Below are 13,173 nucleotides of genomic sequence, written 5' to 3' on the forward strand. Positions count from 1 at the left end.
CTGATCCACTAATTCTGAACCTCTGGAATGGGATGTGTTCTAGATACACGTGTCTTTTAAAACCTCTGGAGGTAATTCTCATGCACAGAAAAGTTTGTTAAAAACTGGATTGGAACATCCAGAAGGATTGGAGTTCTCTGGTATTTTAGATGAGAAAAGTATTCCTCTGAAGAAGTAAGCAGCGCATTTCATGAACATGTCCACAACCATCCGGATAATATTATAATATTTGGTCCCAAGGGTTGCTGGAAGCAGTGTGAATTAATACATTGTGGGCACCAGGCTACAAATAAGGGAAGTGTAGGAATCAATTAACTGTCATCCCTAGCCTTCAATTATTGTCTCACACCACTTCCAAGTTTCAAGGATAAGCTGAATTGGACTTCATTGGGTCAGAAAATTTGTTTTGAGTATTTCTTTTGCATTAACTGGTTTGTTTGTGACCTCACGCAAGTTACTTAACCACTTGAGCATTATTTTCTTTTTTTGTTAATGGGGTAAAATTTTTTGCCTTCCTATTAGGTGGTAGAAATTACTTTAAAAATTTTAAACTTTACATGAATGGAAATTTACATGGATTAAAAACGTAAACACTAAGTATAGATGTGAAAAAGTAAAAATATAAATACATTTTATATAACTGAACATGGCTTTGATGACTTAAGTCTTCATGGAATAAATAACTTCTTTCTTGTATTCCAGAATATTCAGTCTGATCTAAGTCTTTTCTACTCAGATTTATATATAAGTTTGTTTTTTTAAATTTCAGGCACTGTGTAGATTAAAATGTAGTCACTTTTCGGCAAATTCTCAACTGTTGGAGTTTCTTCTCCATCTCTTTTCTGCAGCTTTTTTGCAGGGAATGGGGGAAAAGTCTTGAACAAGAGATGCTTCTGGAGTAATGCAGGCCATTGGTTAGGGGCTTTTCCCCTTTGAGTTATACTTCAGACCACTGCTAAAATCTGCCACAGTTGGTAGATTTCTGTATCTGCTGGTGTGGACAGGTTGCTGTATCTGTTGGTATGTGGCTAGTCTTACCTGTCATTTGGGGTATTATGCTGGCATGTGGCACCGTCATGATGCAGGGGCAAATTCTATGAGGTTTCAGGCCCTCTCTCAGTCTTCAATACTTGACTGTGCTCATTCCTTGTTAGAGGAGTTATACACTAAGTATGAAGTGCTTTAGGTCAAGGTCTCCCAGAAACAGACCTTGATGCAGGGATTTGAATGTATGTAAATTGTAAGTAAGTACTCCCAAAAGAAAATGATGAAGAAGCAGGGGAAGCAGGGTATGGATCAGGAAAACCCACCAAGTGCCCAGGGTCAGGTAAAGTTCTAGTCTCAGCTAGATTCTGCAGGAGTTCTGGAATGTAAATTATACTTTAGAGTTTGCATTTCGAACTAAGGAAGGTGGGCCTTTTTACTCCCACATCAGTTACTCATTGGTTAAGAGGCAGGGGTGGGAAGTGGGTGGTGGTCATAAATTACTTGGCATTTCTAACAAGGTTGCTCCTGTAACTCAAAGCCAATCTTCTGTAAAATGTCAAAGATGCAAGTCTTTAGCAGAATAGCAGAAGCTGAGGGACAGATACACAGAGATGCTAGGATCTCAGGGTATTTGGGCAGGAGCCCAGAAACATCTGCTTCAGTCTACCTTGCACTGCTTTTCCATTAAGTTCACAGATTTTTCAAAAACCCGACTGGTCACAATTTCTGCAGAAAAACTGATGAGACATCTTGATGTGACAAGCTTTAATCACCACTGCCATAGTTGGTCTCAAGACCAAAACAGATTCTCATAATTGCCCTCCTCTAACACCCATTTTAAACTCGCTCTAGTATCCTGATATTATTCAGCATTCTGTGCTGGTAAATAAGATATTCTGTAAGCCCTCAGATATGGTACATGCCAAGGCACTCAGAAGAGACAATATAATTGATAGCTGTGTGGAGTGAACCCAAGAATCATTTGAGTGATTTACTCTGGTTACCATGCAGTTATGGTTGCTGCGATTGTTTATTCACAGTTAAAACTTCTTCTGGGAGTCAGCGTGATACACTTCCTGTATGACCAAGTAAGTTTCTATTCAGTAACACTTGCATAGATAACAGATGCGTACCCTAGACAAAATAACAACAACAACAACAACAACAACAACAACAAAACTACCCGAAGGCGTTGGAGGCAAAGTGAAAGAAGATTTTGGAGACAGTCAGTAGTTGGATAAAGAAAATGTGTGGATAAAAGGTATTTTTCATTTTCATGGCTTCTCGATTGGAGATAGTTCTCTTTCCATTCTATTCGGAGCATGTAGAATTGTCATTTACAAACCTGCAGTATCTCTGGACTAAAGAATAGAAGGACCAAGTTTGAGGCAACCACAATAGCTGGAAATACAGGAGGAGTCTCAGAAAGGAGGGGTTCAGAGAGGGAGAGTTCTAGATTCTATGCACAAATTCCATGCACATTTGTATATAAACTCTAAAAGTCTCTGGATAGCCCCTGAACCACTCATATATGAGAAAGACTCCAAACTACCCAGTTAAGAACAAAACAAAACAAAATAAAACATCAAGAACAAAAAGCAGATCTAATATTTGGGCTGCTGCTTGGGAGACAGAGTTTCTTGTTTCTGTCCAATCAATAAACTACCTGATAAAACAAAACAAACAAAGACCAAATATCAACACTTTCTGGAGCAGATAACAAAATCCAGTCTCCAAAATATATATTCACAATTTCCATGATAACAACCCAAAGTAATTCTGTATATGAAGAAATAGAAAAACATGGAAAAATAGGACCCATTCTCAAGAGAAAATAAAATTAATAGGGACTGACCCTGAGATAAAACAGATTTTAAAATTAGCAGGCAAAGGTTTTACAGTAGCTATTATAATAATGCTATCAGGAAAATATGCTTATAATAGATTAAAAAGCAGAAAATATCAGCAGAGAAATAGAAACTATAAAAAAGAATCAAATGGAAATATTAGATGAAATAAATATAATACCTGAAATAAAAACTGAGGCTGAGAACGAAACTCTAGCTCTATTACATAATAGCAACGCTAAGTCTTCATAATGATTAAGGTCAATTATTCCTGTCAAAAATGGTAATTTTTTTTTCCTACTGGTTTACTAGTGTGAGGAGTCAAAGAGACTCAATGGCAACCAACGTTTTACACTCAATGGGCTCTTGTGACTTGATAGTGCCACTCCTCCATGAAGACTAGGGCCTTTAAACTTTCAAAGCTTAAAGATGCAGAGAAGGGAAGCACACATTCTCAAATATGTCAGTGGGAATAATAGTGAGCAGGGAAATTCTACTTCCATCCATTGGTTCTGGGACTCACGTAGTTTACTGTTTGGGGACCCAGGTCCATACAAAGATTGTTACCTTAAGGTTTATATCATATTCTGAAGGACAATTCCCTACCTTCACAAGAGGTCGTATCTAAGATAATGCCTCAGCTGTACCTTTAAGACTATATTTTAACACTCTGTCAGGCTAGCAGTTTCTGGATTGTGTGGTATGTGATGAGACCAATGGATCATCTGGTCATGTGCCTACTGCTGCACATTTTTTGCTATTAGGTAGGTACTGTGGCCCAACGTGATATTATTCAGGATACTGTGCCTGTAAATAAGACATTCTGTGAGCCTTCAGATACAGTGCATGCCAAGGCACTCTGGCTGGAAGAGACAACCCCCTTTTCTTTTTTAATCCTGAAAAAGTGCTTTCCTTTTTAGGATGAAAGGGGTCCCATGTAATCAACTTGCCACAAACTAGAGTTTTTGTCTCCTTGAGTGATCATAATAATATCAGGGACTCGGCATTGGTCTCTTTTGCTGATATATTGAAGAGAATGTTTTTAGTGTCAATAGCTAAGTCATGGATAGCTTCCATCCTTGACATCATGGATAATCTGTTTATGAATCTATTGTGCAAGTGCTGGGGTAATCAAGGACAAATGCCAATTAACATCTGTTTGATGAATCATCCTGTTCATCTAATTGTTTAGTCCCTCTTCTGCAATGGATGCTCTGTAGTGGGTATTGTAGTGTGATAAAAATATCTTTTCCTACTGTAATTGTTCTTGTCCACAAGTCACAGATCAATGTTAGGGTTTTATCAGATCCTCAGTATTTCCATTTCATTTATTCATCCAGGAGTCAGAGGAATGATCATTGGATAAGTCTGTATCCATGAAACTCTCTATTTGTTAAACCTGAGCCAGAAATCTAAGCTGGGCATGGTGGCTCATGCCTGTAATCTCAGCACTTTGGGAGGGTGAGGCAGGTGGATCACCTGAAGTCAGGAGTTTGAGACCAGCCTGGCCAACATGGTGAAACCCCGTCTCTACCAAAAGATAAAAAAAAATAGCCAGGCTTGGTGGCGGATGCCTGTAGTCCCAGCTACTTGGGAGGCTGAGGCAGGAGAATCCCTTGAATCTGGGAGGTGAAGGTTACAATGAGCCAAGATTGTGCCATTACACTCCAGCCTGGGTGACAAGAAAAAAACTCCATCTCAAAAACAAACAAACAAAAAAACCTAAGCCAGAAATCTATTTATTATTTGACACCCACATGCCTATACTTTAATAGGGGAATCAGCATAATGCTTTGGATTCCTGATATCAGGATTAGTTCAGGCCCAACCACCCCTAAAATCTGTGTATTTCTCTTTTTTGAATATACAGTTACTTAGGTAGATGGCTGCAGGTCTGGTTGGGAAAGGACAAGGAGCATCACTACTGTTAAAGCATGTTGTCACATTGCATCTACCTTCCTTGGGAGCTTAATATCTTTTAATCTTTGGATTCTAGATGTGGAAACTGGCCCAGGTGTGGAATTTTCAACTGAAGTGATTGATATTAACATTTTTAATCTCCCCTTCTTAAGAAGATATAAAAACCTTCTCAGCAACTCATCTCAATTGGCCCTAGACACACCATCATCTTTTAGTCATTGACGTAAATCCCCCAAGAGCCATGATCCCTGGCTACCATTTTGACCTTATTTTCTGTTAGGGTAATTACATCTACTCTGCCTCTAATGGTTAAAGTCTGCCACCCGAATCTTTCATACTTACTGTTAATAAGAAGCCCAGTTCCATAAAAGCATCTTCTATTACCAGTCCCAGGCTTCAGCAGACAGCTGCTGTAAGATTCTTGGCAATATTAGAGACCCTGTCACTAAAGGAATTCATTATTTCATATCGCTATAGTAAACAGAGTATCCCCTAGGCTTTCCTGAACATAGTCAACTGGTGTTTTGGAGGGATGTGGGTTACATATTAGTTACATACAGGCATGCCCACTGAGCCTTTTTCTCTCTTTCTCCATACTGCACCAGGTCAACTCTTCCATTTTCACATCACATCATGAGGGTTATTGTTTTTTACAGGCTTGCATGACAAAAGTCCTTAAAGGAGCAACTTATTACATCCAGCTCCAGAGGGTTTTTCTAAAAAGTGAAAAATCCTGAGTTAGATGATTTTGTCCCCAAATAAACAAACTTTCTATTATCCAGCTTTATATTCTAAATTCTCCTCCTTAACCATCTAACACCCTCAAAATATACTCCAAGGCATTTTTCTAGTTTATGTTGCTACAGATTAGTTAGGTCCTGAAGCCCATTCAATCTATAATACCTTTCCTTCTTTAGCAGGGCAGCACTTCCCCAGTGATCTTAGTTCTTGGTTCTTAGTTCTTGGTTTGGTGTCCAGGATGGGAGATAGGAACAGATCTTGAGGAGAACAGCATTTTTTTTTACAAAGTCCCTGTCTTGGTTGAAACATCTACATAGTCTTTAAACAAGAGGAAGGAAGGTTAGTCTACCCAGAAGGTTTTGATGAATCTGTGGGTACTAGGTTGCCATGTGCATCTACCACATATTTCTATTCCAAGTCTCAGGATCTCACTACCAGGTAGCTACTTTTGGAGTGAGAGACTTAATCATCTAGCAAATTCATTCTGCCTTGAAGTTATGATACTTTATCATTAAGTCCTGGGCCTGGTCATAATTTGGGCTCTCCTCTGCCTACAGATGGTAAGGGTTTTTTTACAGGTTGCCTTAGGCTCTCTGTCTTTCACATTTTGTAGTAAGTTGGGCTAACTTCAGCCTATTTTCTCCCTTCAAAGCATCAATGCCACTTAGCAACCACCAACTAATTTCAAAGTCCTTATAAGTACTATTTTCTTTATACCTCTCAAATGCCAAAGATATTTACCAAAGCCAGTGCATTCCCTTCTACCTGTACCTCTTCTCAGATAATAGCAACATTACTGTGGCCTAACAGGGCTCATCGACATTCCACACACTTCTGTGATATGATCCTCATTCATATCTGTCCTACATGTTATCCAAAACTTAGAATCCCATTTGGACAGTCTATAAGAAGGATCACTTCATGTACCAATTGCTTTAAGTTAGTTTTCACAGAAGCAGATTTGAACTAAGGACTGGACTACAAGTGGGTTATTTAAACAATGCTTCCAGGAGAGAGTGGAAAGAGAGTGAATAATTAGAATATTGAAGAAAAAGGAGATTATGAGTGCAGCTTCAGGGGAAGCTCCAGGCTCAGACTGATCCCAATGGGCATATATATTTTATCTTGGAGTTTGTTTCATCTTGAGGCAAGAAAACTGAATTTTGTGCTTCTTTCTTGGCTGGTGTCCTAGATCCTCACCACCTTGAAGGCGTTGTAAACTTCCGTGCACTTCTGGCTCATTATAGGAACAAAACCCTGAAGGGCATGCGGGCACAGACTGTGACAAAGCACACATAACCAAGGGGATAGGAACAGTAGCAAAAGAGATCTGAGAAGGTCTGAGTGGGCACCAAGAGCATCCACTGCAGGAGATCCTCCTAGAGGTTTGCAGTAGCCCAGGGAAGCAAGGTCCCAGCACACGATGTTTTTAGATTTTCCCAAACCAATCTGGGTGTTTTTAGGATATCCCTTAATCCCTTAGCCCTGAGTTTGGTGAAAGACAAGAGTCAGACAACATCACGCACATCAAACACTTTGCCCTTCTCTTACCTTTGTCCAGCTTCTGCCAGCACCGGAAAGGCTTTTTCATTTTTTTTTTTTTTTAACTATTCTCATAGCACATCTTTCTTCTTCCTTATTCTATGACTCACAGTAGAAATTCTGTGATCTTCATCCCCCATGGCATGACACCATATTTTCAAAAAAATCTATCCTTGTATTTTTAAGAAAATCACTTTCTCTTTCAAAAAAGCCCAATTCCAGCAAATAAAAAAAATACTTGACTTAACTTGATGCTTCACATAGGGCTAAAAAAAAATCATTTTGGAGCTTCAAACCAAGCAATGACTCTTCTGAACTTGGCTGAGTACTGCTGCCCCTTGAAACAACTGATGCCATTGTTTCAAAAGGTAGTGTTGCTAGGGGGCAAGTGAAAAGAATAAAATGTTGTTTTGCTAGCTCAGTAATGTCATTTTTGTCAAACAAATTATTGTAATATTATTGAACATTCCCAATTTTTCTGAGCTGCATAGTATTTTTATAATCTGCTCATGCTGTTTAATTTATTTCTCCAGCTAAATCAAGTAGTTAGTTGTCTTCTCGCTGGCCTTTTTCTGCTTGCCTCCAGATATCTCTCTCTTGTCCTCCCATCCCTACCTAGCTTGTTTCTTCTAAATTGCTCAGGGCTAGGAAACCAGCATGTTAAGATCATGTACTCACGTAACAATATTTTGGTCAGTGATGGACCATATATATGATAGTGGTTCCATAAGATTATAATACTTTACTTTTACTGTCGTATACCCTTTCTGTGTTTAGATATGTTTAGATACATGAATATTTACCATTATGTTACAATTGACTAGCAGTATTCAGCATAGTCACATGAAACGTGGGTTTATAGTCTAGGAGTAATAGGCTATAGCATGTAGCCTAGGTGTGTAGTAGGCTAAGCCATCTAGATTTGTGTAAGTACACTACGATGTTCACACAATGATGAAATTAACCAAATGACACATTTATCAGAATGTGTTCCCATCATTAAGCAATGTATGACTGCATTTAAGAGTTTCAACAATTTAGATGGGAGACTAAGTCTTCACCCATGACATCATATGAATGGTCTCTTGGTGAGTCTTCATGACAAAAACTTCAGGTACTCAGAGATCTGTGTGCGTGTGTGTGTGTATGTGCATGCACACATGTATATGTGTTTGCCTGGATATGTTTAATTTCTTCTTAGATTCCTTTTAGTAGATGATTGTGTTGAAGTTGCTGGAAATGTAACCTTCTATAATTGGGAAGATTCTATTCTCAACACAATGATATTATCAGTTATATATCAAGTCTGCTCCATCTTTCACAGATTAAAGAAACATACACATGGACTATTCTGAAACTTTTTCAGGCCATTCTTTCTTTATTTGAAGACCCAACTTACTGTGGGTCCTACAGATTTGCATGCCCTTTGAGATAGATTAAAAAAAAAAAAAACTGGTTTAATTGCCAGGGGAGAGGCAAATTTGAGCAAAGAAAAAAGAAATACAAAACGCTCCAGGAACATGAATGGGCAAACCAACAGGACAATCGAATTAACAGGCCATGTGTGAGGCTGATTGTATATGTAGGGACCATGGCTTTCAATTAACCAGACCACACTGGGACATCTGGTGCTCCAAGTGTGTTACATCTTTACCACTGGTTTTCAAACTGGAAGGCTGCTGTGTTTTCTCTAGTTTTTCTTTGAAAAAATACTTTTATATTCTCTAATGGAGAGAACCACATCGAAGGTTGTATCATGAGCTGCTGTTCTTTCCTCAATTAAATAAATGAAACTATTGACATTATATTGAATTAATTTCACTGATGTTACATTCCTGATGAATATATGTGTTCTGAGTAAATAAGTTTAGATAATTTTGTGGCTATTACTTGAGTCATGGTAGTGAGTACTAAATTGGTGAAATGGAGGTCATTTTTAAGGTGTAAGGAATATGTAGGGAGGCTTCTGCTGCTACGCATTATTATGGAATTCATAATAGTCTTTACCCATGGAAGCAATTACTCAAAGGGTATTCCTGAATGATGGACATCTGCCTCATCTTCAAACTTTCTAATGGCGAGTGCATTTAACGTGCTGATTCCACTGTTGGACAGTTGGCTGTGGTTGTCAGAAAACATCTTTCTAAGTAAACCATAATCATCCTCCTCACTCTCCCTACATCTTTTGTCTCATCTGTTGTGGGCGGGAGCAGCAGAGTATCAAGTTATTCTCCTTGGTTCTTTGACTACTTAATAATGTCTATGATGTCCTTGCTAATATATAAATATATATAATAAAGAAAAATGCAATATATTTAGCTTAGTTTATTCCTTTTGAGCTCCCACAAGGGTTTTGTTCATTTTTGCAATCTTGTATTGTATAGCAAAGACTCAGGGCCCGGTTAATCAGATGAAACTTTGTTCTAATCAAAAAGTGTTTGTAAAGACTCTTTGTCATTTCCTTTTGACTTCACACCCTCTTCTCATCTTAATCTCTTTTTCAGATATGCATCTTAGGTCCCAGAGAAAAGGAGGCATGAGCTGCAAGCTTCCTCTTATGTTATTTACAGTTAGTTATCCATGACAGTGGAAGTTGCACAGGAAGAAGAGAATATTGTTGTTCCTAGAAAGCTTTTCATGGCTCAGTTCAGGATCTTGCAAAACAAAATCTGAGGATGAGATACATTTTAATGGAAAAAGCTTAGCATCCAATTATGGCAGATGGCTAAGACCAATAGTCTGAAATGTTAATATGCAAACAATAAGTAAGGTGTTTATTTTGGTTCCATTTCAGAATAAAAGACTGCTTCATGGTCATTTAAAGAGCTGTGCTTGGTTAGAAAATACTTTCTTTTTGGGGAAGGATCCATACAGTGATGAAATGCCTGCCAGTGAGTTTACAGAGAGGAAGTACAGATTAGTAGAATTTCATCCCTTCAAAACTTCTATTTGCTTTAAGGGATCAGAAAGAACATTTACATGAGTCATGCAAACTCTCACAGACGTGCTGAGATCTGAAGGCATTAAATGTAAGGAGAGAATACAACACAAGTTCTATAGCACAATTTTGGCATGACATTGATTATCATGCCACAGATTTGAACCTGCTGAGTGTGGGTTGAGCTAGTGAGACCTGTGTGGACAAGCATAAAATGCTGTATCTGCAGAGACAGTTGGATCCATCTGCTGAGTTTATTCATGTAATGACACAGATGTGAAAGTATATGACATTTTGTTCACCTAAAGTGCCAAATCCCCATTCTACTCTTGACAGATCCATGCAGCTTAAAGCTAAGGAACAACTTGAAAGGTCCTAAAGAATACCAGTCTTGAGGCTTCTCTTGGCAGTATTTTAGTCCACATTTCCCCCTGCCTGTAATTACACCTTTTCTTTTTCTTTTTTTCTCTTTTTTAACTTTTTTTTTTTTTTTAAACTAGTGCTGAATTCTCCCATTGGAGAGTTTCTGGCTCTGATTATAGGAGGTTCTCTCTACACAGAGTTGCTCAGCCTCACTCTGTACTGTTTGTCCTTGCAAGTCAGGGAGAACTCAAGCTTTTTATTTCTTCTTCTTCTTCTTTTTCTTCTTCTTCTTCTTATTACCATTATTATTATTGTTATTATTTTGGTTTCTTGTCGGCAAAGATGTTTCTGTGTTGGGGATGAAAGTAATTTTACTTCTTCTAAATGGATGTCAGTATATGTTCATAATTAGCCCAATCACAAGGCATGCCTGGAGAGGAAAACAGCACACAGATATTTGATAGTGTATAAGTACATAATTTGGATTACCTGGAAAAGAATGAGAACAAGTACTTTAAGAGCCAGAACAAAAGTCTACTCTTTAGGTTTCCTCTAGTGTTATTGAAAAAAATGTTTAGTTTATATCCATGTTATTGGAAGGGTAAGTCATGGAATGTCCTCACAACATTCCTCACTTCCAAGCAGGAGCAATGTGTTGGGTGCTGAGGAATCTTCCCCTCTGTGGTACAGCCACCTTTGCCTTTCAATCACCTCCTGTGGTTCCTCTACCATTAATTCAAGCTTTTTAGCTCCTTTGAACAGAATTGCCCTCCACATGTGCTCAGCTCTCTCCTTTGGATTGCAGGTCTCTGGAAGTCTCCAGGCTCCTGAACTTACCCGCCTGCATCAGAACTGATGCACCTCACAGTGCTCCTGGTGCTGCTTCTCTGAGCTTGACAGAAACAGTGCCCTCTGGGGCATATTACAGCAATTCAACTGGACAAGTAGAGAAAAATAAATACCACTTAAGGAGTAGTAAAAAAAAAAAAAAAAAAATGGCTTTCAGTCTTTTTGGAGCTGTATGTTGGAGGAAAAGGATTTATTTTGGGGGCAATCAGGCATGGAGATGGGCTAGAGGTGGAGCAAACAGTGGGTGAGCCTAGACTTGCTTGGCCAACGTTGCTCAGCACACAAGAGAAACAAAGCTGGCTTTGAGAGAAGGTTCGAATCTGTGGATAACATCTTTCTTATTGTTGAAAAGTCATTTCTAGAATGCCAGATTGTCACAAATAGCACTGCAGAAACAGTGGACCTAGGTTGTAAGTACTTTTTAGCCTTCACATCTTCAGTTTGGACAGCTCCTTTCTCTGGCTCAGGAGGAGAAGGCGATGGAATCAAGCCTGCCAAGACAATAAAAGCTTTTCAAGACCATGATCTGTTAGATAAACAATTTTCCTTCTATTCCCCATCCTATAAATGCTGCTCTGACTCTGACTTATTATTGCGTGTATCTAAGAATATAAAATCTTCTATTAATCACAAAGTACTGGAACCTATTCATTTAATTGAACACCCCTTCTCACCCCCAGTACAACTATGTAAAGTAGCAACGTAATGGAAAGAACACAGAACTGAGAAAGATAAGCAGTACTATAGCATTTGTTGCAATCAGTCAGTGAATATTACATTTGCCTTTTAACTCAACATGCACTTTAGATTTAAACTTCTACAAAACTTAGTAGAAGGGCTAATATTTAAAATTTTATTCAAGATGATTCATTGCATTTTTTTAACTTTTGAAGTCTAAGAAAGACCATAATTTTCTGTTCCTAGGTTGTTCCAGCACACTTAGAGAGAGAGAGAGGGAGAGGGAGAGGGAGAGAGAGAATATGTGCAAAATAAAGAATTACTGTATCTGGCATACATCAACATGAAACTTTCCCTTTAGGATTCTCCCTGCATTTGCATAGACACAGTTTATTGAAGTTGCTTTAAAATTATAAGAAGGCAAGTGAATAAAGCCTGTTTGTATAAGGAATGTCGTGTACCACTTTGAGTTGTGATGATCACCTCTTTCACCCATTTTTTATCATCATCCCAAAATGAAGCAATAAAATTGAATTTCTTTAGACTGTGAAGCATTTATACTAGTATTGCTTATAGAAAATGAATACTGATGATGTATAATGTTCAACTTAATCAGGATTAATATGCTGTCTCAAATGATTAAAAGGCAAAAGATGAGCTCAGTTCATTTTAGGTTTGGAGTATTTTAGTCCATATTTTAAAAGTAAGTTGAGTACAGGGCTCGTTTTTTTTGTTTTGTTTTTTAATATACAAAAAGTTCTGGGCTTTTGAAAACTCTGTATATTTAAGTACTATTGTCATTCTGAGGGCTAATAAAATACCACTACTTGAAAATCACTGAAACCTCAGTCACCTTTCAGCAGCTATGTATTGTCTATTCCAATAGAAAGTGTACATACTAAGTTCACAAATAGACTAAATAAATGTTCATTTTCCTTCTTTTCTTCTAAAGACATAGCATATTTATGTGTCTGTATGTATGTCAGACATGTGATTTCTACTTTCTTTAAAATTAGAGTGCATCAAGGGAAGAAAAATAAAAATTCCTACTTTATCAAAATACTAGTGTGAGAATAAGACTTGGATTTATAAGGAAGCATTTGAGGGAGAGGGTGTGCATAGTTAACGTTTGAATGTATAATCATAGTATTTAAATACAACTTGATAAATGCCGTGAAAATACATGGAAAACATTTGCTGAGAATTCTTGCTGGAAAAGTCTTGCCTAGCTCTGCACTTTTGATTTTCCTGTCTTTTCTATGTCACTTTTTTTCTCTGAGTCATACTCTTTAAGAGGATATTGCTTAA

The 13,173-nt window shown here is 37.9% G+C and overlaps 1 annotated feature.

Moving 5' to 3' along the window:
• Positions 10,887-11,388: an enhancer, noted in NCBI's record as "NANOG hESC enhancer chr5:116524927-116525428 (GRCh37/hg19 assembly coordinates)". NCBI's record gives its function as "activates a minimal SCP1, AML or CMV promoter by ChIP-STARR-seq in primed H9 embryonic stem cells {active_cell/tissue: H9 hESC(primed)}" and the evidence as "EXISTENCE:reporter gene assay evidence [ECO:0000049][PMID:30033119]".

Source organism: Homo sapiens, chromosome 5 (genome assembly GCF_000001405.40).
Source record: "Homo sapiens chromosome 5, GRCh38.p14 Primary Assembly".
In the NCBI taxonomy this organism is placed as follows: domain Eukaryota; kingdom Metazoa; phylum Chordata; class Mammalia; order Primates; family Hominidae; genus Homo; species Homo sapiens.